This window comes from Homo sapiens, chromosome 11 (genome assembly GCF_000001405.40).
Source record: "Homo sapiens chromosome 11, GRCh38.p14 Primary Assembly".
Taxonomy (NCBI): domain Eukaryota; kingdom Metazoa; phylum Chordata; class Mammalia; order Primates; family Hominidae; genus Homo; species Homo sapiens.
The window spans coordinates 88,152,649-88,176,847 of NC_000011.10; the positions used below are offsets into that span (position 1 = coordinate 88,152,649).

At 39.1% G+C, this 24,199-nt stretch overlaps 1 protein-coding gene and 1 non-coding gene across 4 annotated transcripts in view; one reads left to right on the plus strand and one right to left on the minus strand.

Moving 5' to 3' along the window:
- Positions 1-22,795, minus strand: part of RAB38 (RAB38, member RAS oncogene family) — a 371,729-nt gene extending 348,934 nt beyond the window's left edge. For all 3 annotated transcript variants that reach the window (XM_017017456.3, XM_017017455.3, NM_022337.3), the window contains exon 1: positions 22,535-22,795. In XM_017017456.3, the coding sequence (XP_016872945.1) occupies positions 22,535-22,736 (202 nt within the window). In that variant the 5' untranslated portion in view covers positions 22,737-22,795. The remainder of the gene's footprint in view (positions 1-22,534) is intronic.
- A 1,058-nt stretch (positions 22,796-23,853) lies between these two features.
- MIR3166 (microRNA 3166) lies at positions 23,854-23,945 on the plus strand. Its single transcript, NR_036124.1, has one exon. It is a non-coding gene; the product is annotated as a microRNA 3166 (primary transcript).
- The last annotated feature ends 254 nt before the right edge of the window (positions 23,946-24,199 follow it).

Genomic DNA, 24,199 nt, shown 5'->3' on the forward strand with positions numbered 1-24,199 from the left:
CCTCTTTGCTCTTTCTTATTCAAAGAATGAGAACCATGTGACTCAGAGTGAGTGCCTACTTTTGGGCAAAGTAGAGACCTGATGAATTCATCATAGTTAAATTTACTTTTTAAAAAAATGACTATAATTCAAAAACTTCCCTTGATTTTAGATCACTTATTCAACACACATTTATGGAATAGCTAATGTGGCTAAAGCTCTATACTTTGTGCTGGAAATATACAGTTTTTGCCCAGGAGGAATTTCTAAACTAAGTTTTGTCACACTGGATTACTGCACTGAAAATAATCCACTTCCACATAGGTCCCCAATGCTCTTAAACTCATAGCAGTGTAGATGTGGCTCATGATTCAGCTTTCAGCTATGAAGGGTGTTAAATAGGAAAGCAATAAACCAAATCACAAAAGTTAATATAATGGCTGCGGGAACTATTTAGATAATCTCACAGCAGAAGACACCAACTTGAAAAGTCAGAAGGCATGGTCTTAATTTTACTTACTGGTTACCAGAACAGGCTCAGACACATGTATTTCTCTCCCTGAGACTCAGTTTTCTTATCTATAAAATGAACTTGGTGTGGCTGATCTCAAAGGCCCCTTGCTCATGCCTTAGATTAAATCAAACTTTGGCCCTCTGTCCCAACAGCCTGAAATGGTCCACTTGGTGTCATAGACTCAGCTAAAAATACACACAAACATCACAGCTAAAATGTATATCTAGCAGTATTTTTACTTCCAGTCATCTTCTAACTCCCTCCTCACTCCTTCAACCAAAGAGGCTCCAGTATCCAACTAACACTTCTACTTCAGAGGTAGCCCTTGGCTCTGCCCCTCCTCTCCCCCAGCACTGCTCCTGCTCCACCTCAGCCCCTCATTGCTCCTCACCTGGACCCCTGGCAGCTCCCTAAATGGGGATCTCAGTATCTAGGCTCTCATCAATGTCTCTCTCCCCAAATATAAACATAAATGTAAGCACAAGTCTTCAGGTAGTTGCCATTCTGGCAGCATAAGAAATCACCTCTGACACCTAAGAAATACCCATCCCTAGTTGGGTTGCACTTCTCAGAGATTCTTTATTGTGTTGTTTTTGTGCAGAGATCAGGAATTTGTATTTTTAAGCCATCTCTAAGTGATGTTAGTGTATGATTAGTCTTAAAACTGCTATTTCTTTTTTTCCCCCCAAGATAGTACATTAGAGCCTTTTAGCATGCCTCAGCCACATGGAAATAGCAAGATAGTGCATAAAGACCAATTGTGTGGGCTTTATATCAAGAAGGAAAATGGGAATCCACCAGGACAACTCAAATTGAAGAATACCCCAAATTCCAGGGAGGGAACATGGGCAAACAGCCGCTTTGATGGCATTCAGCTAATAAAAGTGAGAGAAGCTCAGGTATGTGAGAGAGGCAGAGAGCCTCCCTCTGTGACTTGCCTTTCCATTGGGGATCCCAGCAAAGCATGCCAAGGGAAAGCACTTTGTTTCTCCCAAGCCCTAGAGCTAACTTGTGGAGTTTCTTGGAGACATTGTGAGGAAAAGACGTGAGGAACAGCTGCAGACATTTTCCCAGACCCAGGACCAAGATCAGGATGCCATTTTTAATCCGAGTGCATAGAAAGGCAACTATTCATTTTAATCTCTAGCCAGAGACCAGAGCACTCACTCTAGAGCTGCATAGGAGCCTCCACAACCAGAACTGTGGAAAGCCCCTCAGCAGTAGGTGCTAGAAGTGTGTTCTCCTCTGTCACAACCTTGGGACAGGAGGAGGGCTGATAAAGCTGCAGTTTCTACTGGGCAGTAATACTTGTAGCTAGGGCCAGCTTGGCGATCTGGAACCAAACTGCAGGTGTCCAGCCTGCTCCCCTGAGATTGTGGTGTAGCAGGGCCCTCTTTGCTCTACTCCCAGGCAGAAATCCAGGCATTTGGAGCACCCACTTGCCTGGACCAGCAGCCTGAGCTGCCCCACCTGTGACAGACATAGATCGTGGTACAGCAAGTCCCTCTCCACTCCATGGCTACGCAGATATCCAGGCATTCAGACGACCTGTTCAGCTGGAGCAGTAGTCTGACCTGCACCAGTCTTCCTGTGCAGTCAGCCTGGTGCTGGGAGGCTAACTCTGTTTCACACCAGGGCAGATCTCTGGGCATTCAAAGCACCTGCTCATCTGGCCACCACACCTGTCCTGAACATAGACCATGAGGCAAAAAGGTACTCTCTGCTCCATGCCCAGGCAAATATCCAGCCATTAGAAGCACCACCTCACCTGAATTGGCAGCCTGAGCCATCCCACCCCTCCTGTGCAGAGATTGCGGTGCAAGGATAGCCTCTCTGCTCTACATCCAGGCAGCTCTCTAGGCATCTGAAGCACTTACTCTCTTGGATTAGGGGTTTATAGGCGGCTACTCTTCCCATGCAGTTGCGGCTGAAGAGATTTCCCAACCTGATGCTGAGGTACACAACTCACACTTGGTAGCTGCCCCCCAGATTCTCCCTCAGCACAGCTGCTTGCACCTGCCATTAGGGCACCTGTAGATGAACCTACCTGGTCTGGCCCCACCCATTGTGGACCCCAATCCCCTTGGCTAAGCAGGGAGCTCAGACCACTGTGCGTTCCAAGAATCAGCCCATTGCCTGAGGCAACAGAGAGCTTCCGCCAGTAAACAAGGATCAAGTATACACCTAGCCACATTGACCACAGCCTGCTATCATGCATAAGCACTATCTACTGACTTACAGGTCAAACTGCACAGCCCAATAAAAAACCTGCAGAAAGAAGTACATAAGGCTACAGAAGCAAAACCAAAAGACCCCATGGAGCAGGGCAAAGGAAAAGGAAAAAGGAAAGAAAAAAATAGCAATAGTATGATAGAGAAATAAAGAAAAAGAAAAAAGTCCTACAAACATGAAAATAATTACAAAAATTAGAAGTGCCAAAATTTCCAAATGAAAAGGAAAAAGCACAAAAATCCTGATACTATGAAAAATATGAATGCAGTGACACCATCAAAGGATTGCACTAGCTTTCCAGCAAAGGTCCCTAATGAAAATAGAAACTCAGAAGTGACAGATAAAGAATTCAAATCATGGATTGCAAGGCAGCTCAATGAGATCCAATATAAGATTGAAAAGAAACGTCTAAAGCAGTCCAGAAAATGAAGGAGGAGATAAATCTTAAAAAGTAATTAATCACAGCTTCTAGAATTGGACAATTCACTTAAGGAGTTTCAAAATACAATTGAAAGCTTTCTCAACAAAACTGAACCAATCAGACGAAACCATTTCAGAGCTTAAGAACTGGTCTTGTGAACTAACCCAGTCAGACATACATAAAAAAAGAGAATATTTTTTAAATGAAGAAAGTCTTTGAGAAATGTGGGATTATGTAAAAATATCAAACCTACAAATTATTGGCATTCCTGAGAGAGAAGAAAAATTTAAAAACCTGGAATACATATTTGGGGGGATAATTCAAGAAAATTTCCCTAACCTTGCTAGAGAGGTAGACATTTAGATACAAAAAAAATCCAGAAAACACCTGCCAGATACTATACAAAATGAACATCACTAAGGCATATAGTCACCACATTGTCCAAGATCAATGCTAAAGAAAAGAATCTTAAAGGCAGCTAAAGAAAAATGTCAAATTGCATAAAAAGGAAACCCCATTTGGCTAACAGTGGACATCTCAGCAGAAACTTTACAAGCCAGAAGAGACTGGGGGCCTATTTTCAGCATTCTTAAAGAAAAGAAATTCCAATCAAGAATGTCATATCCCAGCTGGGTGCAGTGGCTCATGCCTGTAACCCCAGCACTTTGGGAGGCCGAGGCAGGCGGATCATGAGGTCAGGAGTTCGAGACTAGCCTGGCCAACGTAATGAAATCCCATCTCTAATAAAAATACAAAAATTAGCTGAGTGTGGTGACACACACCTGTAGTCCCAGCTACTTGGGAGGCTGAGGCAGGAGAAACACTTGAACCTGGGAGGTGGAGGTTGCAGTGAGCCAAGATCATGCCACTGCACTCCAGCCTGGGCGACAGAGCAAGACTTTGTCTCAAGAAAAAAAAAGAAAATTCATATCCCACCAAACTAAGTTCGTAAGTGAAGGAGATTTTAAAAATCTTTCAAAACAAGTAAGTCCTAAGGGAATCTGTTACCACTAGACAAGCCTTACAAGAAATCTTTATGGGAGTTCTAAATATGGCAATGAAAAAACTCTACTGGCTGCCACAAAAATACACTTAAGTACGTAGCCCACAGGCCCTATAAAGCAACCACACAATAGAAACTTATATTTCAAAGCAAACTAGCTAATAACTTCGTGATAAGATCATAACCTCACATATAAATATTAACCTTGAATGTAAATGGTCTAAGCTCCCCACTTAAAAGGCACAGAATGGCAAGTCAGAAACAAAAACAAAACCCATCCGTATGCTATCTTCAAGAAATCCATCTCACATGTAATGACACCCATAGGCTCAAAGTAAAGGATTAGAGAAAGATCCAGCACACAAACAGAAAACAAAAAAGAGCCCAGGTTGTCATTCCTACGTCAGATAAATCACACTTTAAACTGGCAACAGTCAAATAGGACCAAAAAGGCCATTACATAATAATAAACGGCTCAATTCGACAATAAGACTTAACTGTCCTGAATATATTATGCACACAACATTGGAGTAGTCAGATTCATAAAACAAGTACTTCTAGACCTCTGAAAAGACAGAGACAACCACATAATAATAGTGGGGGACTTCAATATCCCACTGTCAGTATCAGACAAATGAGCAAGGCAGAAAACTAACAAAGAAATTCTGAACTTGAATTTGACACTTACTGATTGGACCTAACAGACATCTACGGAATACTCTACCCATCAACCACAGAATAAACATTCTTCTCATTTGCACAGAACATAGAAAGATTGAACACATGCCCAGACATGAAGCAAGTCTCAATCAATTCGAAAAAAATTGAAAATATACAATCATACTCTTGAACCACAGTGGAATAAAAATAGAAAGCATTACCGAAATCTCTCAAAACCACACAATTACATGGAAATGAAAACAACTTGCTTTTGAATGACTTTCGGATAAACAATAAAATAAAGGATAATTTTTAAAAAATCTTTTAAATAAACAAAAACAGGGACACAGCATACCAAAATCTCTGGTATGCTGTTAACAGGAAAGTTTATGGTGTTAAATGGCTAATTTAAAAAAGTTAGAAAGATCTTAAATTGACAATCTAACATCAGAACAAAAAAACACTAAAATCAGAGCAGAACAGAATGAAATTGAGACTCAAAAAATACATACAAAGTATCAATGAAAGCAAATGTCGGTTCTTTGAAAGAATGAACAAGATCAATAGACAACAAGCTAAATTAACAAAGAAAAAAAGGGAGAAGATCCAAAAAAGCCCAATCAGAAATGACAAAGGTGACATTACAACTGATCCCACAGAAATACAAAAGATTATCAGAGACTGTTATTAACACTTCTTTGCAAACACACTAGAAAATTTAGAGGAAATGAATAAATTCCTGGAAACACACAATCTGCCAAGATTGAATCAGAAAGGAATTAAAACCCTGAATAGACCAATAATGACTTCCAAAATTGAATGAGTAATAAAGAAACCTACCAACCAAAAAGTTGCAGGCCAGATGGATTCACAGCCAAATTCTACCAGACATACAAAAAAGACTTGGTATCAATCCTACTAAAACTATTTCAAAAAATCAGGAAGCGTCTCCTCCCTAACTCATTCTAGAAAGCCAGCATCACCCTGATACCAAAATCTGACAGACACAATGAAAAAAGAAAACTACAGGCCAATATTCGTGATAAACATAGACACAAAATTCCTCAACAAAACACTAGCAAACCAAATCCAACAGCACATGAAAAAGTGAATTCACTATGATCAAATAGTGCAAGGATGCAAGGTTGCTTCAACATATATAAATCAATAAATGTGATTCACTACATAAACAGAATTAAAAACAAAAACCATATGATCACCTCAATAGACTCAGAAAAAGCTTTTGATAAAATCCAACATCCCTTCATAATAAAAACCCTCAAGAAAATAGGTATCAAAGGAACATGCCTCAACATAATAAGAGTGATCGATGACAAACCCACAGTCAACATGACACTAAAGAGGCAAAAAGTAGAAGCAATCTCCTTGAGAACTGGAACAAGACAAGGATGTCCATTCTCATTGTGCCTATTGAACACATTACTGGAAGTGCTAGCCAGAGCAATCAGGCAAGAGAAAGAAATAAAAAAATCCAAATAGGAAAACAAAAAGTCAAACTATCTCTCTTTATGGCCAATATGATTCTATACCTAGAAAGCCCTAATGACTACGAGAACTATAAATGACTTCAGTAAAATTTCAGGCTTCTAGAACTGATAAATGACTTCAGTAAAATTTTGGGATGCAAAAATCAATGTATAAAAATCAATAGCATTTCTATCCACCAATAATGTTCAAGCCAAGAGCCAAATCAAGAACACAATCCCATTTACAATAGCAGCAATAAATAAATAAATAAATAAATAAATAAATAAATAAAAATAAAATAAAATACCTAGGAATACATCTAACCAAGGAAGAAGGTAAAAGATCTCTACAAGGAGAACTATGAAACACTACTAAAAACAATCATAGATGATATAAACAAAGAAAAAAACATTCCAAGCTCATAGGTTGGAAGAGTCAATATTGTTAAAATGGCCACACTGCCCCCCAAAAATCTACACATCCAATGCCATTCCTATCAATCTACCAACATCATTTTTCACAGAACTAGAAAAAACTATCCTAAAATTCTTATGGAATTAAAAAAAAGACCAATAGCCAAAGTAATACTAAGCAAAAAGAACAAAACCAAAGGCATCACATTACTCAACTTCAAACTATAAGGCTACTGTAACCAAAACAGCATGGTAATATTACAAAAACAGACACATAGACCAATGAAACAGAACAGAGAAACCAGAAATAAAGCTTCACAAGTACAGCCATCTCATCTTTAACAAAGATGACAAAACTGAACAGTAGGGAAAGGACACCCTATTCAATAAGTGGTGCTGGGATAGCTGCCTAGCCATATGCAGAAGAATGATACTGGACTCCTACCTTTCACCATATAGAAACATTAATTCAAGATGGAATGAAGATTTAAATGTAAGATCTGAAGCTAGAAGAAACCTAGAAGAAAACCTAGGAAACGCCATTCTGGACATCAGCCTTGGGAAATAATTTATGACTAATTCCTCAAAAGCAATTGCAACAAAAACAAAAACTGACAAGTGGAACCAATTAAACTAGAGAGCTTCTGCACAGCAAAAGAAATTATCAACAGAGTAAACAGACAATCTACAGAATGGGAGAAAATATTCACCAAATACACATCCAACAAATGTCTACTATCCAGACTATATAAGGAATTTAAATAACTGAACAAGCAGAAAACAACCCCACTAAAAAAATGGGCAAAAACATGAACAGACAGTTCTCAAAAGAAGATATATGAGCAGCCAATAAATGTGAAAAAATATCCCATATCACTGAACACCAGAGAAATGCAAATCAAAACTACTATTTGATACCATCTCACACCAGTCAGAATGGTTTACCATTTACTAAAAAGTCAAAAAACAACAAATATTGGCAAGGCTGCAGAGAAAATGGAATGCATATACACTTTTAGTGGGAATGAAAATAAGTTCAGCCATCATGGAAAGCAGTTTGGAGATTTCTCAAAGAACTTAAAACAGAACTACTTACTAGTCAATCCAGCAATCCCATTCTTTTGTATATATCCAAAAGAAAGCAAATCATTCTACCAAAAACACGTGCACTCACATGTTCATTGCAATACTACTGACAATAGCAAAGACATGGAATCAACCTAGGTGCCCATCAATGGTGCACTTGTTAAAGACAACATAGTACATATTCATCATGGAATATTACACAGCCAAAAAAGAGAATAAAATCATATCCTTTGCAGCAACATAGATGTAGCTGGAGGCCATTACCCTAAGTGAATTAATGCAGGAACAGAAAACTAAATACTGCATGTCCTCACCTATAAGTGGGAGCTATACATCAGGTAACCATGGACATGAAGATAATGACAACAGAAACCAGGCACTACTGGAGTGAGAAGAAAAGAAGGGGCAAAGGTTGAAAAACTATTGGGTACTATACTCACTCCCTGAGTAAGGGGATCATTTGTACCCCAAAGCTCAACATCATGCAATATACCTACGTCTATGTCATAAACCTGCATATGTATCCCCCTGAATCTATAATAAAAGTTTAGAGAAAAGAAAAGAAAACCTCTATCTCCATTAGAATCCACTATCAAAAGGTAAATCTTACCATTACTCTCTGCTGTTTTAGCTATTCAGTGACTCTTATATGCCCAAGAAAAATACACCTTCATTGATATGTCATGTAATGTAGCACATTTTTGGTTCCGACCACTTTTTCAAACTCTTGTCGCTTCCTTCAAAGTGCTCCATGGCCAAGTCCCATTGGACTACTTGTTCTTTTTAAAACGCATCCTAAATTACTTTCCAGATTTTCTTGCCTTTTTAAATCTTTGTGCCCAAAGCCTGAATTCCCTCCTCATCTCTACTCCCACTCTGTTCAATAAAATCCTATACATCCTTCAAATGTGCCCTTAAATCTCACCACATTTGTGCATACTTCCCTGTCCTGACAGCTGGAATCACTGAATCTCTTCTTTATGAACCCATAGAATTTTAAAATTTCTACACCACTGACACTTATTATGCTGTGCATTCATGCTTGGATCTCTAACCATGGCACTGAAAATCCTGGAGAGCAGATTGACCATCTTTCGATATTGCAAAACCCGAGGCTTATTTCTCCACCTTTAGGATACAATAAGAGCTCAAGATTTTATGGTGGAAATAAATTCAAATTAAGGCTCCTTCTTCCTCTAAAATGCCTTATCATGTATTTGTGAATTAGTGCTGCATACTGATGAACTTACTCTATACTCAACTCCAACTTCCAGTAAATAATCAATAGATTGTTATTGGAGGAGAAAATTAACATTATTGTGCATATCTGTTGTAACAAGTTTCAGCCTGGATTATTATGCTTTCATAATCATTCTCATTTTCTTAAGAAATACTACCTTGGAATCAATTTACTCTATCTAAATGATACATGTGTTGGGGTCACAGAACCATCAGTAGACCTAAGAGTGACACCAAGATGTTCTCTATATTTCTAGGGAGTAACAGTGTGGAAAACATAAAGTAAATATATAATCAACAGTAAATATGGACCTTGCACAATAATCTAGAAGAAAAAAATCAAACTATAATTGCTGCAATGGTCAAAAGGACACTGACATCATAATGGCTTGTGCTGGTTTTGAAAGCTCAGTGGAAACCCACATACTGAAATCAGAGTCAGGCTGACATCCTAGTGATGGTGGTTATTTCCAGTTTTTAATAAAAGCCTATTTGACAGTCTGGCGGTGGTTCAGAAACACTTTCATCTGTTTTCATGACTTTGTCCCATCAAACCAATGACAGAAACATATAAATTAATTACCATTTTTCCAAGTCACCTAGGTGTATATCCTAGAACTTACCTGGTACAATCTTCCCCTACAAAATAACAAGCCACCCCATAGCCAGAACCAAATTTCTGCAGCCCCTGTGACAAGCACTGCACTCTATATAGTAAGCATTCAATATGGTCCCCATGCTGAGTGAAGGAATAATTCTTAATTCTTTACTCCTCTCCCAGTGGATTTGCAGGCTTATTAGTTATTTAAGAGTTTTCTGTCATGTCTGGTCTGTTGCATTCATCACTTTCTTTCCACTCCCACTAAAATCACTTTAGCTAAGACTGTCTAATTTCATCTCGTCTAATCTCATTCATTCATTTAACAAAAAAAAATTTAATCCCTATAATTTTCCAGAATTATCACTAGGAACATATAACTAGAACATACAGCTGGTTACTAGTTTTGTTCTATAACTAGAAAAAAATCCTTGCCTTCACGATGATTCCATTCCACCCTCTGACCTCCTGTGGGATTTCTGAGGTCGCACTCTTAGATCTACAAGTTAAAGGCTAATTTTCAGACTGAGGTCAAGGTTTTGACCCAACCTATGCCTTGCTAGGCTCTGCTAAGTTCTGCTTCTTGCTTCCATTTACTCCCATACCATGGCAAATCCACTCCCACTGAAAGACGTCCTCTCCATCATCCTTCACCTAACCAGATTCTACCCATTCTTTAAGGTTGTACCCAAGCTCCACCTTCTTGGAGACTTTTATGACTGCCTGGACTCACACTCATCTCTTCACTCTTCTATATTCCCACAGCACTGACTAACTGGATCATTCGCTCAACCATTTGATCAGGCCCTGCCTTGTACTGCTTTTTATGTGCTGCAAACCTGTGCAGCCTGTGTCCTCAATTACACTGTAGATTCCTTGAGTCCAGTGTAGAATTACTCAATTACTATATTCGGTGTCTCCATAACACAGGTACCCTAAGAGGCTGTTACTTTATGCTCACAATGCACTTCCAGAATAGAATGGAACTAGCAATACAAGTACTCTTTGCATAATGAAATAACAATTAATACTTATTTCTTATTTGCAAGAGGGAACCCCAGCAGGAAAAGGTGTAGGCTGAATAAAAGAAGATCTTTGATCTAACTCATTTACTTTTATGCCTACTGAACTTGCCATTTTTAAGATCCCATCTGAAAAATATCTGTTCATAATTCAGAACCACCCAAACTCTTTTAGCAATTTCCTTAGTTCCCCCATAAACAATGGCTCTCATTTTACCCTACTGTTAGTTATCATCTCTTAAAGGCAAATTTTGTCTCTATTCAACAAGAAGATAAAGCTAGATGAAGTATATTGAATTAAGTAAGCTAAAGTGGACAAGAGAATAAAATGGCATAAAAGGTAAATATTGACTTTATTGTTGTTCATAATTACCTTATAGAACAAAAGATGGATGGATTATAGTGACCTACTTTTGAAATACATTTTCGAAAGTATTCTCATTAAATTCTGAATGTATATTTAAATTTAAAGCAGTGCATGTGATATATATGTGTGTATGTGAAAATGAGTACTAATACAGTAGCCCAACAGATTTTTTGTCAGAATAATTTTAGACTGGAGCCCAATGCTACCAGCTTAAGCAAATAACTCATGTGGATGGAGATAAAAAGATCATCTAGCAATGTAAGGTGCAACAGTGGATAAAGCAGGGGGAAGGAAGGAAACCAAGTCATGGATGACAGGTTGGAGTGAATCAAGACAGAAGGACCAGCATCTCATGTTTATAATCAAATAAACAACCTAAAATACCTCTGAACTGTAAGCTCAAATGTATTACATAAAAAACCTATTTTTGAATTATTTGGCATTTGAGACAATACCAGTCAGTATCCATTAAATAAATTTTTATAAATAACCCCCAAGAGATCCTGGACTCTAAAAGTTGCACTCTTAAGGAATATCCAGATTCTGCTACAGTTATAACTCCCAAAATATATGCCAAGGTGCTCTCGGTGGGGGGGGGTGCCATGGTGAACTCACATGGGTGAAACAGGATATTTTAAATTTTCAAGGCAAATACGGTAGTACTCAAGATCCATTAGACACCCCAGGAACTATTAGCTTGAGGTAGTTCACAGTGTTAACACTATATTCCTTTTGATGTCATTATATCTGTTTGAAACTGGGGTTTGGAAGTTTCTGTGATGAAAAGCAAAAATCATGTGAAAATCAATGTGAAACAGGAAATGACGGTGGTATGGTAGTGGCATCCACTCCGGCTCAAAGGTTTGAGAGGGTGTTTCATGACCAAAGCCATACACATGCCTATAGTAAACTGTGGTGATTAACAATGAAACAAAAATAATTTTCTTTTAATTTATGCGTTCTCTTTTTTTTTCTTATGGCTATTATAACACTTATTAAGTTGTTTGGTGCTATTTAATGAACAGGATTGTTAGGTAGTGCTTTTGGCCTAGAGGCACAATGAAAAAATCCAAAACACTAAGGATTTGGATGCGGTGAACTGAGAAAGTTTGAGAACTTGCGCTGTAGCCTCTAGAGTCTAGTGTATTTTTTTTTTAATTTAAGATACACACACCACACAATACATGCATACAGATCCTTCTACCACCATATAAATCTTTTTATTCTGATACCAACAAGCACTACAGCTATTCTTAGCTTTAATTTGTAAACTAGAGACTTCTGTCCCTCAGGCACAGTGGTTTTCCTGCCTAAAAGTAGTATATGAAGATGACTGTTAATAAGTCAAACCAACCATATGGTGTCAGCAATGATGCATGCAAAAAATTCAACTCATTCAATAATTAGGTCTATCCAAAAGTATACAGGTTAAAAATTAATAAATTACTATTTTAAAATATATAATGAGCACCTTCTAAAAGCAATGTATAACAACCCACGAGATGTAAAAACCATTATGCTGTTTATAATGCATCAGGAAACAGTAGAATAGCATGGCTAGAAAATAGGATTTGTAGTTAGACAAATCTCAGTGCATATCCCAGCATGACCTGCTACTATTGGTAAGACTTCTGAAAAGCTTTCTGTGCTTGTTAGCTTGTTTATCTTTTTTCTGGCCTGTTTATAGTTCTCCCATCTCTATAGTAGGGTTAATAACAGTGTCCATCAGATAAGCTCATTATGAGCTGTAAATAAAATAATGCATATGAATGCATAAAACTATGCCTGACACTTAATAATTGGTGGCCATTTATAGCATGTTATAGGGAAAACAGTCTAACCAAAAATAATTTAAATCAATAAGTTTTCATTACTCTTCTTAAAAGAGCAGTTTTATGCAAGGCTGATAAACAAATTGAAAGTTATATTTAAATAAAAGTGATAAGGAACAAAGGTTAAATAATACATCAGAATAACACAAACTACAAAAAGTAGAGACTCAGAGCAAAAAGTCATAACACATTTGAAACTATTAACTATCCTTTTATTAAATTATCTACCTCTTGCTTCCAAAAGCCTGCCCTTGCTAGGTTCTCCTCATTCTTGGTGTTTCTTCTTCTCTACTTCTTTGCTGACTCTACAGTAATTTCATTAAATTATGCAGCAAATAACTCACAGCAGGATTTACTAAAAATCATGAAGGAAATTTGGATAGATAGAAAATAACTGTAACACAAAGCTTAACTAGAGAAGTGCTACAAACAAGGGAAAGAAAAGTTGTATGGGACTCAAGGGAGGAAGAAGTTACTACTGACAGAGAGAACTAGGAAAGTCTCTGTAGAGGAGCTGCCTTTTCAGATAGGTCTTAGACATCAGGTAGGATTTGGATGTGCTTCCAAAGGGAAGGACACATGAACCAGCAGACATGAACCAGCAGGGCAAGCAGGAGCAAAGGCTCAGAGGCAATAAGCATGGAAATGAACCAGGAATAGCAAGGAGTTCAAATGGTTGAAATTTAGACCTCATCATGGAGGGAGGGAGAAAATGATATTAGAAATGCTATTTAAAGCCAAACTGTGGATGACTTTGGGTGTCTCCACTGCTATGCCATTATCTCCTCTTCTCCACTGCACGAACTTCCACAGGGCTGGGTGCCTTCCCAATTTGATCATCATTATAACTCAATGCTGAAGACAGCACCCAAACACCTAGTATTAAAAAATACGTTTTTAATTATTCAAGCTTCCTTGGTAATAAGCCAGGTAATCTTGTGTTCTGGTTCTAATTCTACCACTAACAAGCTCTGTGGGCCTGAGAAACTAATGTCACCTCCCTTCCAGATCAAGCTTGCTCATCCATAAAATGACTGATATGGTTTTGATGAGTACTCAGGGTTTTAATTCTGTAAAATTACCTTTCACGAAGTTATTATTTTATATAATATACGCTTAAATTTTAAAAAAGATATAGTTTTGCCATTTGACATCCAAATGAATGACATTTCACTTCAAATTATGGAGACTGTTAAATGCAAAAACACAGCTTTTAAGAATGGTATTTAAGGACATTTCCCAGTTTTCATGGTTGGAAAAAAAATAGAATGTCTCCTTAAGAAAAGTGGTTGCCATATTTCTCAATTCTAAATTATACTTTTATATATTAATGTTTATAAAGTTGTGAAGTTTTTCAATCATGAACAGAAGTCTATTTTTTATTGAAGAAATGTTTAGATCAATGATATGTCTTAGAATTAAGGCATTGATACAATAGTTGACTGAAAAACTTTATTGAACAAATACTACTTGAGTTCCTACCACATGTCCAAATACTATGTTAGGACCCAGGGATACACTTTGGAGGAAAAAGACATTCCAATGCAATAGTAAACTATTTCTATCTGGAGTAATCATGGAACTTTATGGGAGCAGAAAAAGTGTTTCCCTGAGTCTCATGGTTTCAACAGACATTCTGGAGGAGGTGATATTGATAGAGTGAAAAGGACCCATAGGAGTTATCTATGTTAACAAGAGGAAGGTGTTTTTTTTTAGCTAGAGACAACTGTGTGAGCCACAGCATAAAGGGGAAGGTAGGTATACTGGGGCCACTGTAAGATATCTGGAATGTAAAAATCATAGATGTGAGAGATAAGACTGAATGACAAATGAGTGACAGTTATGATGGTCGTGACTGTCATGCTAAAAAGTTCAGCCTTTAATTCTAAAAATGCTGTGGCTCCAGTGATGGGTCCCAGATGAGAATATCAACTGGAGAACAACACCATGATGAGGGGTATCACCACTGTCGATTACAAACTGATTGGCAGGGAAGCTGGAGGAGGGGATGGGCAGGAGGCAACTGCTGCAACAGTTCCGGTGAGTTGTGAAGAAGATGTGGCTATTGAAAAGATGGATGAGATATTTATTTTATAAGGTAGAAAAGACAAAATTTAATTAGTACTTGAGAGTGGGCAATGAAAGGAAGGAGAGAACAGTAGAAGTTAAAATCCGAATTATTTTCAAAGAGTAATTTAAGATCACGTAACTTCTTAAATTCCTGAACAGCTGAAAAAATGAGTAAAACTCAATTATTAAGAACCCCAGGCTAGAGTCTCAGACTTGACCTTGCCAAGTTGAAGGACATCAGTCTAATTCACCATCCTAGAAGATAAGGATCATCCCTTGCTGGAATAAACCTGATTCCTACCCCAGGAGCAATAGGTCCACTGTATTCTTCTGGGAATATGCATCCCAGAATCTAAGAAAGTAACATAAATAAAGCTTCTCAATGGTTTGAAAGCTTTCAAGGAATCTCCAAAGTGAATCATCAGAAGAGGGAGAGAAAGGATTGTAAGTGTAACTCAAAACATCTATTCTCAAAAATTCACCAGATGAGTGATGGCTTTAGTATGAACCTCAGTGACTGCTTAACACCAAACCACTTTTACTAAGCAACAATTATGTACCAGGTGTCATGTTCTACTTATGCTTGGCCCAGCTTCCTCATCTATGAAACTGGAAGTAAGAAGACCTATTTGTTAGAATTACTGTGGTATTTAAATTGCAAATATTGCTTTGATAAATTGATAAATGTAAGGAATTTTCACTTTCACCGTTCTTAACATTTAATTTGGCATATATGACCTTTCCTAATTTGTCTGCCGCATCCCTCTTAACACCTCCTTCCTCACACATTGTAATCTTCAGCTAGGTCAGATTACTGAAGCCCGCATGATGTCTTCTCATCTCCATGTTATGGCTATGGTAAGTCCCCTGGTTGACTTTCTTTTAGCATGTGATACTTTCCCATCAGATCACTTTTCAATGACTAAATAATTATTTTGAAATAAATATCTTTATGCCACACCAGACTCTAAAAGTCCGTAAGAGCAAAGATCAACCTATTCCGATCACCCCTAAATTTCTCTGCTTATCAAGTGAATTAATAAAGTTTCTCAGGCAAGATCTTATACTTCTCAAATCTTCAAGTTTTAAAACTGCATTTTTATATAAAATGCAGTAAAATAAAACAAAAAAAATTAAGTAGCACTTGAGCCCTTAATGACAGTTTCTTTGTTCCTCACAAGAAGACCACAATAGGAGAGACATCCTGGGTTTCCTTTTGACTTCACCAGGCCTCAAGGACTCCAGTCACTTCTTAAATTCAAGGACTTCACAAACCCATTCCTCAATTTCTCTATGACTTGGATCTATCTTATTTCTAATTTTCTAATTATCAGCCCCCCTAATACCTTATTCTCATCCCCTCCATTGTTCTCATCACAGCATGTGTAATCTATAGCCAATAGAAAAGAAAGATGTTCTGGGAAGATAAATTTGGCTTTGATACACCTGAGAACTGGAGGAGGCAGAGATTAGAGCTAGCTAAGAGGCTATGATCCAGAACAGGTATGTAAAAAAGTGCTGTCTCTGGTCTATGGCAGTGGGAAAAGAGAGGCATATGTACTATCTGACTTGGAGACTGGTGACATATGAGGGTCAAAAGAGAAAAGATGGCAGAGGTTTCAAGCCTAAGTAACTGGGGGTAAGGTATTTTGGTTAACACAAACTAGAAAGTCCACTGAATGTGGACAAATGTCTAGTTTAGACTTACAAATAGCATCATTTACTACTTATCATTAAGTGGGGGCAAATATGCATACATTGTTTGTATTTCTTTCTTGTTTTTCTTTTCTGTTTTCCAGCTTTGCTACACTGAGCACATATTACTTTATTAATAGAAAAAACAATCCTGTTTTCACACAAACTTTGTTATGCACATGTTCACAGGCAGTATAGGTGAGATATTGTAGAGGAGATGTTCAGCAGGAAGATGGAATTGTAAGCCTGAGCTCATGAGTAGTCAAGGATATAGGCATAGTTTTAAAGTCATCTGCATAGAGTTAAAGCCCTGGGAATGCATGAGATCCTCAAGCAAAGGAGACTGAATTAGAGGGCCAGATGATGAAATTCTGTCTCAAGTTGTGCAGCCCTGACGCACTCACAGGGAATGACTGGTGCTAGGTAAGAGCACAAGAAACATCACACTAGCCTTGAGGTTTTGTCAACTTCCTCAGATTTAGTCTCAGAGAGTAGGAGAACGAGGTGTGGACAACATCTCTGCACCATGAGAGTGTTCTGAAGTTATGTCTATCAATGCTCTTTACTTATTGTTACAGTGATTTGTTTTTGTGTCATCATGCTGATGAAGCTGGGATGAAGAAGTAAATCTTATTCAATTATTATCCTTCTTTGTTTTTCCCTCACCTAAGTACTTTCACATACCAGGCACTTTATATATACATACATATATTTGCTGAAGAAACCAATCACACATATAGAGCTACTTTTTCCAATCCCCTCCCACTCTCAAATGCCTTAGCTTTCCTTGGTCAAGCTGCTACTTGCTTTTCTATCAGAATCAGTCCTCTAAAACCCAGATGACACGACATGTCCTGCCTTGAGGCGTTTTCTCCATATATCCCTCATTCCTACTTTGAAAGTTCACCATTTTTGCTCACTGTACACATTATTTACCCGTAAGAACATAGCATGTTATTTTACGTGGCATTTAGAAAATCTGTAATTAGCTAAGCTAGAAACAAGGCAATAAACTGCCCAGTGGAGCATGGCTCAGACTCGATATGCATTTTGGGGGGTTTTATTTGACACACTCATCGCCAAATTTAGCTCTTTCTACATTCCTAGACCTACTACTTTGACATTTAAGACCCATCTTCTACAACTGCTTGAAGAAATAGTCTTTCAGAAATCGGTACTAAAGAGATAGTTAAGTCCGAATCCTATCTTTGGTTGAATTTCACAACCTGAAAGAACTTCACAAACTCTAAAACAACATAACAATGTGACCCAAATAAGTGTCAGAGTTGCTGGTGTGAAGAGTCAGTTTAAGGACTCCTGACACTGGGCCTGGGCTGCCTTCATCCTGTTACTTTGTCTATGGGACAGTTAATGTATTCTTCTGCTGTCATGTCACATGGCTTAGGTGGGGGAAGCTGGTATAGATGTGCCTTGAGTGGAAATATTTTTCTTATAGGGTAGATCTTATTTTAAGTATTTAGAGGCATTTGTTATTTAGCAGAGCTCTGCAGTCAAACTTTTACATAGCAAAGAAACACTCGAAACACTCTCTAAATTGTCTGCCAACTTAATTTATTTTCCACTATAGCAATATAAAACTGGATTGGGTTTTTTTATTACCAACAGACTTGGTTATCTCACTCATACAAGTAAGCTGAAGCTAAACAGACCGACTGTTCCTATTCTCCTCTGCCACTTATGATCTCAGGCAACTCTCTTACCTCTCTCATTTTTTATCTTTTTAAATAAAATTGGGTTTAGGACTATCTGCTTGTCTACACCCTCAGCAATGCTGGGGAGATCAAGTGGGAAAATGTATGTGAAAACAGTCTGTAATAATAACAATTATGACAACAGGAATAATAGCTAACACTCATTCAGCATTTATTATGTGTCAGGCACAGCTTTGCATAAATTAACTCATTTAATTCTTACAAAAATACTAAGATGCAGGTATTGTTATTATTCCCATTTTACAGACAGAAAACGAAGGCACAGAGGCTAAGTAACTCACACAAGTCACAAAGCTAGTAAGTAAAGAAGCTGGAATAAATGACCATGTGCTACCTATACCCTGAGGACAGTGATAATAAACCTTTTGCTTACAGAGACTACAAAAGATAAAATAAGTATCACAGGAAAATTAAATAATCATCATTTTATAGATGAGGCAATTGAGGTTCAGCAAGGTTTCACAGTTTGCCTAATTATATTTTCAGAGTATCTAAATTTAGAATATATTTAAACTATGTCTGAAGTGCTCTGTTTTCAAATTAAGGACAGTAGAGCAAATCTTTTGAAAACAGATTCAATGGTCAATTTTAAATTCTAGTGGCCTAACCAGCTATTATACTGGGAAATTATAGATTAAATATGCCTGGACATTCATAAGAATAAGGGCTTAAGAAATATTAGCTACTATCCCTATAAATGTCCCAATGCCTAGATCAGAGTCCCAAAGCACATCAAGAGTTCTAGACAAGATAGTACAGTTCTTTTTGAAAGGGTGAATGAGCAATTATAGTCTCTGGATTTGGAGAGTAATAAAAAAGTGGAGTCTCAAGTGTGAACTTTTTGTTTTCATTTTCCCTAAATGACCTATTTTTTTAAAAACTCTATAAATTCACATCCTAATCAAGATAAAATTTTCAGAAATAGATTTTAATTCATTCCTTTTCACTGAATGCACAGTGGTACTTAATAATACCAAAAATCCAGTTAGAAAGGAGAAGGTAAGTTTAACCCACCTACTAATGAAACAACACCTTTAAAAAGAAGGCATAATCCCTGTGGGCCAGCTGTGTGCCAGGCACTCACAGGCCAGCAAGTGCAAACAGCAAGGCTTGACTCTGAGTGAAACGGAACCGGGTCAAATCTGGCTCTTCCTCTACTAGCTGGGTGGCCTCAGGCAAAGTTACTTCATTTCTTTGACTCTATCAGGAGCCTCTGAACACACAGCTGACCTTCTAGCATGGAATCACTGGAATCCAGGCCAACTGCTGTCCCCTATGGGGTTTGGTGGGATTTATCATCTTGTTTCAAGGCCTACTTCACAAGACCCCAGAGATACTTTTTGGAGTCTTTCAAGATCAGACTGGCCAATCTACATGGCTATAAGAGACACATCATGGGAATTTAGTAGATTAAAAAGGGCCCTATTTGGCATTGAACCAAATGAGTATCAAGAGTCTAGCTGAGCCAAGATTCCCTTAATAACAAATGTATATGATATCCTATCAGAACAGTGCAGGTCTTCTCTATCTCATTGAACACCCACAACCTTCTCAAAGCTAGGCCCACTAACCTCCACTACCTGCTCTCTCCGGGGACACACCAGAGTTGAACACTAAGGACGGAGAGATGCATTCTTATCTGTGGACAGACAGGCTGTGATTTGAAAGTACTATAAGGTACACCTGGCTGACTGGAGTCTGGGTGGGCAGTTGAGGTTGTATTTCACATGAACTCATAACCCACATGGCTCCCTATGCAGCTTAAACCATGAAACATGGAGCACGTGCATGTTCCAACCATTTCCTACAGTGGCCTAGCTTTCACCCAATTCACTGTGCCTGCTGTCCAATCTATAATTCAGCTAACAGGGCCTTTGGGCTTAAGGCTGCTAAAGACAGGTTACCACTGAGCATTAGAGCTCTGGGAAAAACAAGCTCCTCTACTGAGATGTTGAATGTAACACCACCGCAGTATCTGTAGAATGAACTTCCCAAGACTTCAGATTTCTTATTTATACAGACTTCTGTGACTACAGCCTCCACTGCAACTTCAGTCTACAAAACATGGCTAACGAAGTGCTTTCGAGCTTGGGAGTTAAATTGCTCCTGAGAGTATGTCAGGAGCAAAGCTGAAAATGGTGATAACTTGGGGACAAAATATATATGTAATATTGGGATCACAATTTATTAGGAATTAATAAGCACTTGTATATCATATCCTTCTTGCCTAGCATTTATATAGGCTTAAAAAAATGGTAGCTAGTGTGATAATAATCCTTGCAGATCTCCTAGAGAACAGGCATGATCACCTTCAGCTAGCACTGTTGGTTGCTCACCTGTCATCTATTGGGAGAAAGCATTCTCCCTGTTTACAAGTAAGGAAACCAAAACAAGGAGGTTAGAGAACTTACCTAAGATTGCCTACTACATGCAGAGTAAAGTAAGGATCCAGATGGAGGCAGTTCAACTCTGGAATTTGGGCTATTAATCACTGTACCCTTCCATCTCTTCTGTTTATGTGAGGAGACTGAAATCTACAGACATAGAACTTCTCTGCTGTCATGCTGTTACCTGGATTGTACACAGAAGTCCAAATTACAGCTACATCCCCGTTTAAACAGTAAGCCGTTTCTAAATCTGAATCCTGAGGACTTTCGAGCAGCCAGAAGGGTTTTCAGACATTATGACATGCAGCAAGAAAGTACACAGAGAGAATTTTTTTAGATGAAAAGCCCCATCCAACAGTGGCTGATAACATTTTCTGTTCTCTGATAACCCCCTTGCTACTAGAGCAGCTGAAGATGACTCCAAATGCATGAATCTGTTCATCTGTTCACATGCTAAAAGAAAAAGGCCTGGCAGTTCATGATTAAAGAGGCACGAAAGTCCCCAGATCACAAATGCCCTTTCAAAAATTTTCCACATTTGTTCTAGTTTCAAGCCATGATAAAGAGTTTCCAATCAAATGCATCAGCTAAAATGAATCCATTTTCTGAAACAGAAGTGGCTAGTTTGGGTCCAGCACTTATAACGAAAGGTTCCTGGTGTCACAGACCATGAAATAAGACTGTTTGAAGTTGTTCCCATGGAGAATCCCAGAGGACTTTAAAACTTCTGAGCAGGAAGATCCTTGACCCTTGCCCAACTCCTTTCCACTTAACAGCGATGCAACTGAGCTGAAGAGACTTGTCCAAAGCCACTGAGCAGGTTAGTTAGTGGCAGGGCTAAAATCTGTAATGAGGGGTTGGTCATGCGCAGGTTGCAAACAGCCTTGTCCAAGGATTCACACTTGGAGTAGATACATTGCACCCTCACTTTTGACTAGGCCTAACTTCTGGTACAAACCTGTGGAGTCAAAATCTGATTTTAAATATTGTAAAAAACAAAAACAAACAACCTCTCATTTTTCAGATCTCTCAATGAAAACTTTAGGGCCAAATCAAGAAATCATAAGGCTATCATAGGCCCTTACATAAAAATGGCCTTAAAATATACACACAACCTCCTTTTCATAGAAGACAGAGAGCCAGAGAGATAGAAATACAGAAAGAGAGGGAGAAAGAATACTTTGCCCCTGACATATACACACAAAAGTACTTGGCTTACTGTAAGCAAAAAGCAAAAAAAAAAAAAAAAAAAAACAAAACAAAAACCCTCAAACTCCTTTGTCTTAAGGGCAGAGAGAAAGGTGACAAAATTTGAAATAAAGTGAGCCACTGAAGACAGGAATGGGCAAACTCCAGCTAGCCTGGAACTATCCCGGTTTCCTCTGTGAACCAGCCTAGGGGCTTCCCCTCGGTCCGCCCCTGCACGGAAGGACGTGCGTGACACTGGGCTGCGTCATTGGCAGAACTGCCCGCGCCCAGAAAACGAGCTGGAGTGGAGAACAGAATGCAATTGCAGACAATCTTCCTCTGGTTCCCTGGGGAGGCCTGCTCTGGGCAGAGAGATCCCAGGGGACTGTGCGGGAAGGAGCTAAAGCAATAGCCCAAAAGCGCCAGGGAATGCACTTGAAGTTTCAGACGTTTTTCTTTTCTTTGAAACTAAGTTTCCAGCCCACCAGGAAAAACTGCCTCGCGACCTAGTGATTTTAATCTCACGCTTGGCCGCAAGCCGCTGCCTCGAGACTGGAAACCGGCCGCGAGGCGCTCTATCCCCCTGACCCCCTCCCCCCGCGCTCACCTGCGATATCCCAGAGCTGCAGGCGCACCACAGTCTCCGGGTCCCAGTGGAGCACCTTGAGCGCGAAGTCCACGCCGATTGTGGCCCGGTAGTGCGAAGAGAAGTTCTGGTGCACGTAGCGCTTGATGATACTGGTCTTCCCCACGCCCAGGTCGCCAATCACCAGCAACTTGTACAGGTGCTCCTTGTGCGGGGCCTGCATCCTGGCGGCCGGCCAGACGTGCCGTGCCTGACCAGGGAAGCGCAGCCTGGGCTCTGCGCACGAGAGAGACTTGGGGAGCGCAAGTGTAGGTGCAGAGAGAGGCGTGGGCGGCGGGGCGGGGGCTGGGGGGCGGAACTCCTCCCCTAGGGGTTAATCCTCCTTCCTACTCCGCGGTCTTGGAGAGGGGAGGAGACAGGAGCGAGTCCCGGGACTGGCAGCTGAAAGGGGTTCGCGTGTGGTTGCCTGTTGCAGCGCTTATTTATCCGGCGCTTTAGAGTTTCCGAAGAGCTGTTTTCACCTGTGACCCTGGCCACAAACTTGTGAGGTGTGGATCTTATTTTCCACGTTTTGCTTGCGAGAAAACTGATTGTGAAAAAGTACTCTGCGGGAGATGGCCGGTGAAAGGCCCCGTTGACCACAGGTCTGAAGTCACAGGCTCTTAACTACCCCACACTGTAGAGAGAAATTACAGTATTAGGAAGCCCAAGACTGGCTGGGCTTGGTTCCTGCGTGCCCTGGTTTTTAAGTTGAGGGACCATAAGTAAGTCATTTGAGCTCTCACAGCCTGTTATTTCTCAATGAATGGCAATGCTGACCTCTGAGCAGCTTGGAGGTGGGAACACTGAGCACTTTCACACCCATTCAACTGGTAATCAGTTAACAAGGAGGACAACTGGGCCGAAAATGCCAAGGGCACTGGTGACTTTTAGCCTCTTCCCATATCCTAAAAACTCAGAGCTGCACAGAAAGACAGTTTTAACAATCGGTCAGATTATTACAAATAATAATAATGGCAAACATTTATTGAGCACTCGCTATATGCCAGAGGGTTTATAAATTATGTCATTTAGTCATCCCAGCTGTCTTAATAATAGATACCATTTTTCTTCCTATTTTACAAATGAGGAAGCTAAGGACCAGACATTTTAAGTAATGGACCCAGAGTCAAATAGTAAGGAAAAAAACCAAATTCAAACATAGGTCTTTAGGTTCCCAACTTCTTTTTGTTGTTTTTGTTGTTTGTTTTCATTCATTTGACCAATATACATTTTATTACCAATTAATATATGACAAATTGTACTTATTTTGTCTTGTCTGTCTCCACCTACAAGAAGGTAAATTTTTTTGAGGCCAGTAGGCATTGTCTGCGTTAGGATTTCTGTATCATCCTCCTAACGCAGACAATGCCTACTGGCCTAAGAAAAATTTACCTTCTTGTGGGTGGAGACAGGACAAGACAAAATAAATACAATTTGTCATATATTAATTGGTAATAAAATAAGGCAGAAAGGGGATGTGAAGAGATTATATGGGGTTTGCCTTTTAGATAGGGTGGCCAGGGAAGGTTTCAGTAAGATGGAGACAATTTAGTAAAGACATAAAGAAAATGAGAAATTGGGCATTCAGGGCTAGGGGGTGAGCAGTTTATACCAAAATGAGCTATTTTGTACCTGAATGTGCTG